Below are 6000 nucleotides of genomic sequence, written 5' to 3'. Positions count from 1 at the left end.
AAGCTCATACCCATTTCAGATTATCAGTTTACTGTTGATTTTTAAGAAGTCAAGCCTTAGTTCTCCAATCTATCTCTGCACTCAGACTCTCCTACCCTAGTATCAAATGAGAGGCACTATTGGGTAACCTTCAATTTTTCTCTTTTGGAAAAGTTATCTGGAATTGAAACAAAACCGAATTTTTCTTAAGATTCCTTTTAACCATTTATCATTTATTAAATGCACAACCAACATTAAAGAAAAAAGACTGTAATACTTTGTAGGTAGAAATAATATATTTTATTTCATCCCTGAAAACAAAAACAAAAACAAAAATGTCCACATCTAATAGGAGAGACTAAACAATTATTCCAAACTTCTACCTGGCAATGGCATATAATTAATTTCTTCACATAAAGGTAGACAGTACAGAGAAGAGAAGAGAGATTTGGAAATCTGTCTTTCATGAAACAATATTTCACATATTTATTTTAATAAAATATTGTAATTATTGCTACATGTGGTAGCATATTATAATGACGAACAATACAATATCTAAATTCTATATAGTCTAAATCTAGAAGCTAGCTGCACTTAAGCAGTTACTATAGAGAATAAATACTATGAAATATAGGGCACCATGTGGCAATTAGATTTGCTACAAGGGAAATTTAAATAAAAGTATAATTTGTTTTATACTAGAATTACCCAAGATTAGGGTTCCCTGTGCTATATACAGCTTTTTTCCTGAAAAGATAGTCAATCTTCATAGTTTATATTTTAAATGTTCTTATTTTAAGTGGCCATTATATAAAATGAATATCTAATGCATCTGTTATACAAATTCAAAATTTCATAAAGGATACTCTTATATAATATAATGTTAACATTTTCCAAGCAATTTAATGCAGCACAAAAGTACCTTTATTATATACACCTGGCTAAAGTCCTCAAGAGTTCCATTCTCCAAAGTCCCTTCCTCCTAGACCAATATAATAAAAGCAAAATTAACCCAAATATGGAAATAATGTGCTTTCCTGATAGCATAGACACTCAAAGGATTAAACTTTTAAATGAACATTCATGTATGTGAAAAATCATGAATACTTTATTGTTACTCTCATCATAAAAATATCTTTTATTCTTCAATAAGTATAAGATTAGAGTTTACAACTATTTTAATGCTGTTATTAAATTGCCCCAATGTTTACGATAGGTAATGGACAGTGGCTGCTACCCATTTCAAGATTATACTCTTATAAGTGTAATTTTTAAAAATATACAATAATTAACCTTCAGTTATTCTGAAGGATAGTGCAAATCAATACATTCTTTGGGTCATGATTTCAAAACATTATTTTCAACATTATATTTCCTTTCTCTGCTCATAATTGGAATAACAAAATATAGTACAATAAGCACATTTTTTCAAATAGCCGTAGTCTAACAGTTACATCTATTGAGAACAAATGACAGAATGATTAAACATTCTTCACTTGTCCAAAAAACGTGTTATATACTTAAATAAATGTGTTATAGAAATGAATCCATGTTTTTCAGTGTTTTCATTTCAGCTTGATCTCAAACACAAAAGATTTATACAAAACTCACCTATCTGCTTACCACATCAACCAAATTACCAAATTCTCTTTAAGGACATAGTACAGCATTGAACAGACTTGCCTGAAAGCAAACAAATAACTTTAAAATTTTTATGTACAGAATTAGAGTTCCATGAATCCAGCATACTCCTTGAAAATGTGTAGAGCTTTTATTGTAAAGTATTGCTCTGTCCTAAGCCAGCAATTATAAAGCTTTTCTGCCATAGGATATAATCCACAGTGGATGGAGCAGCACAAGGTGATTTTCAACTGCTATCTGATACTGCCCGAGACATTCGTTCTTTTATTTGTGGTTACTGGCACCAAATTCCCACTAGTACCATTGGTGGTGTTGGCTGCTGAGCCATTCACAACAATATAGTCAACTTTGTTCTCCAGCTTCACCAATCGTTGCAAAATGTCATCCAGAAGGACAGCAATTGTTCTTTTCAGATCCGCTAGGGGAATAAATCAGAATAAAATTAACATTAATAGAGCTCTTCATTTTTGTGTTTTTACAGTTTGAAGGAAAAAGGTGAACAACTACTGGGTCATCTGAGGGAAAATGTACTAGAGAGAATGCACTCATACTACAAATAGGAAAAGCCTAATTTTTTTTTTTTTTTGAGATGGAGTTTCCCTCTGTCTCCCAGGCTGGAGTGCAGTGGCATGATCTCGGCTCGCTGCAGCCTCCACCTCCTGGGTTCCAGCGATTCTCGTGCCTCAGCCTCCTGATTAGCTGGGATTACAGGCGCCCACCACCACGCCCAGCTAATTTTTGTATTTTTAGTGGAGACAGGATTTTACCACGTTGGCCGGGCTGCTCTTGAACTCCTGACCTCAGGTGATCCGCACTCCTCGGCCTCCCAAAGTGCTAGGATTACAGGTGTCAGCCACTGCTCCTGGCCCTAATTTTTAAATCAACAACATCATTTACAGAGTTTCCAAAAGGAATTTCAGAGTTGTAAATGTGGGGGAAACTCTCGCTTTTCTAGTGCGATATAATGGATTTTAAAGTCTGGTTCAAAATGTTAGTCCCGCTGTGAGTAACTCATTTACCTTGAGTTTCTTAAGCATTTTGTAAAAACTACCACAGACCTGTAATCCCAGCATTTTGGGAGGCTGAGGCGGGCGGGATCACGAGGTCAGGAGATTGAGACCATCCTGTCTAACACGGTGAAACCCCGTCTCTACTAAAAATATAAAAAAATTAGCCGGGCCTGGTGGCATGCGCCCGTGGTCCCAGCTACTTGGGAGGCTGAGGCAGGAGAATCCCTTGAACCGGGGAGGCAGAGCTTGCAGTGAGCAGAGATAGCGCCACTGCACTCCAGCCTGGGCGACAGAGCAAGACTCCCTCTCAAAAAACAAAAAACCAAAAAAACACAGACTAAGCTGGTAAACTAAAAAGCTAGCTAAGAAAGAGAGTCCATGAAATACAGAAATCGAGAACCTCCACAGGGGTGGAGTTGTGGGGGAGCCTAGGGTCCAGTGCAAATGCCAGGAACCTGTTCAGTGCAGTAGGACACTAGCAGTAGTTCTGACTTAAATTTCCTGCAGAAAAATGGTGGGGAAGACTATCTTCTAACCTCTTTGTAATGTTATGGAGTTTCAGTAAACTTTACTTGACAAGAATAAAATTATGAGGCTTTTCTGCCTTAGAATTCTCTTTCTCAGGTTTCCCAGAATCACCTAGCATATATTAGGTACTCAGTTAGTGACAACGAATACTGTTATTTTTGTTGATCCTGGACCAAAAAATGAGCCCAAGCCCTAATCCGGGATCACCAGGAGAGAAATCATCTAACAACTGATAAATGTGCTGATGGTTCTATCAGAAAAGCACAAGCAACAAAAGAGAAAATAGATAAACTGGACTTCATCGATATTTAAAACTTTTGTGCATAAAAGGACATTAATCAAGAAAATGAAAAGACAACCTATAGAATGGGAGAAAACATTTGCAAACCATAAATTTGATAAAGATCTACTACCTAGAATATATAAAGATCTCTTACAATTCACGAACAAAAAGATAAATCAATTTTTAAAATGGGCAAAGGACTTGAATAGATACTCTCTAAAGAAGATGTGCAAATGGCCAGTAAGTACATGAAAAGATGTTCAATATCACTGGCCACTATGGAAATACAAACCAAAACTCAATGAGATACCATTTCACACTTACTAGGATAGCTATCATCAAAGAAATGGAAAATAAGTGTTGGCAAGGATGCAGAGAAACTGAAACCCTCATACATTAGTGGTGGGAATATAAAATGGTGCAGCTGCTGTGGAAAAGAGTTTGCCAGTTCCTCAAAAACTTAAACATAAAATTGCCATGTGACCTAGGAATTCCACTCCTAGGTATATACCAAAAAAAAAAAAAAAAAAAAAAACCAAAAGGATTCAGAGCTCAGAGGGATACTTATACACCAATGTTCATTTCAGGTTTATTCACAACAGTCAAAAGGTAGAAACAACTCAAGTGTCCATCAACAGATAAACAGATAAACAAAATGTGGTATATATGTAAATACAATGGAATATTATTCAGCCAGAAAAAGGAATGACATTCTGATACATGCTACAACACAGATGAACCTTGAAAACGTTATGCTAAGTGAAATAAGCCAGACATCAATCAAATCAAATATTGTACAATTCCACTTATATAGAATATGTAGAATAGGCATATGTATACAGACAGAAAGTAGACTACAGGTTATTAAGGATCAGGGAAGGAAGGAATAAAGATTTACTGCTCAAATTTTATAGATTTCTTGTTTGGAGTGGTACAAGTTTTGGAAAGATACAGTAGTGATGGCTGCACAACACTGTGAATATAATGAATATTGATGAATTGCATATTTAAAAAAAAAATTTTTTTTTTTGAGACAGAGTTTCACTCTTGCTGCCCAGGCTGGAGTGCAATGGCGCGATCTCGGCTCATCGCAACCTCCACCTCCCAGGTACAAGTGATTCGCCTGCGTCAGTCTCCCGAGTAGCTGGGATTACAGGCATGCAACACCATGCCTGGCTAATTTTGTATTTTTAGTAGATGTGGGGTTTCTCCATGTTGGTCAGGCTGGTCTCGAACTCCCGATCTCAGGTGATCTGCCTGCCTCGGCCTCCCAAAGTGCTGGGATTACAGACATAAGCCACCATGCCCAGCCCCCAGATTTTATTTTATTATTATTATTTTTTTTGAGACGGAGTCTCACTCTGTCACCCAGGCTGGAGTGCACTGGAGCAATTTCGGATCACTGCAACCTCCACCTCCCAGGTTCAAGCGATTCTCCTGCCTCAGCCTCCCGAGTAGCTGGGATTACAAGCATGCACCACCACACCCAGCTAATTTTTGTATTTTTAGTAGAGACAGGGTTTCACCATGTTGGCCAGGCTGGTCTCTGGTCTCGAACTCCTGACTTCAGGTGATCTACCCACCTCGGCCTCCCAAAGTGCTGGGATTACAGGCGTGAGCCACCGCAGCCAGCCTTAAAAATTATTTTAATGGCAAATGTTGTTATCGATATTTTACAATTGTTTAGAAGTGGGGAAAAAAGGTATCAGAAAGGAGTAGTACTACCGTAGTGGTCGTGATAGAGGGTGATCAAAAAATACTTATCAAAAAAAGAGAAATGTAATATAAAGTGAGGAGGAAACTATTTGGAGCAAGTCTTATGGTAAAATGAGATTTTCCAAGAGTGCATCTCTGGCATCATTCATCATGAACACCTCAACATTCTAGTTTAAAGGGAATATACAAGAAAAACATTTACAAAAATCTTTCAGCAAGAAGTACCCAGGAATGAAATATCATGATATATACTTCTTTCAGATGGTACCAAAAAGAAATAAACATAGATATTTGTATATATAAAGAGGACTGGGTGCGATGGCTCACGCCTGTAATCCCAGCACTTTGGGCGGCCGAGGCAGGATGGATCACTTGAGGTCAGGCATTCAAGACCAGCCTGGCCACCATGGCCAACATGGTGAAACCCCGTCTCCACTAAAAATACAAAAAAATTAGCCCAGGCGTGATGGCACATGTCTGTAGTCCCAGCTACTCGGGAGGCTGAAGCAGAAGAACTGCTTGAACTTGGGAGGTAGAAGTTGCAGTGAGCTGAGATCGTGCCACTGCACTCCAGCCTGGGTGACAGAGCGAGACTCCATCTCAAAAAAAAAAAAAAAAAGACATAAAAAAAATGTTAGCCAATTGTGAGTTTAGATGAAAGATATATGATGTTTACCACACAATTTTTAAATTTTTTCTGTAGAGTTGAAAATTTTCAAAATAAAACATTGGGAGAGGGGACATTTATTTATTAATACCTTTCAATCAAGAGTTGCAATAGTATTTGGTAAACAGGAGATAATCATATTTTTTAAAACCCTTCAGCAGTAAGACTAAATCATA

The 6000-nt window shown here is 37.4% G+C and overlaps 1 protein-coding gene across 2 annotated transcripts in view; it reads right to left on the bottom strand.

Annotated features, from left to right (window-relative positions):
• Positions 1–260: 260 nt before the first annotated feature.
• CCDC126 (coiled-coil domain containing 126) overlaps positions 261–6000 on the bottom strand; it is a 47327-nt gene continuing 41587 nt past the window's right edge. For both annotated transcript variants that reach the window (XM_017012775.3, NM_138771.4), the window contains one exon: positions 261–2038. In XM_017012775.3, coding sequence (XP_016868264.1) covers positions 1854–2038 — 185 coding nt within the window. In that variant the 3' untranslated portion in view covers positions 261–1853. The remainder of the gene's footprint in view (positions 2039–6000) is intronic.

Source organism: Homo sapiens, chromosome 7 (genome assembly GCF_000001405.40).
Source record: "Homo sapiens chromosome 7, GRCh38.p14 Primary Assembly".
NCBI classification, from domain to species: Eukaryota; Metazoa; Chordata; class Mammalia; order Primates; family Hominidae; genus Homo; species Homo sapiens.
The sequence above is the reverse complement of the archived record's forward strand: the minus strand, read 5'-3'. Positions and strand labels throughout refer to the sequence as shown.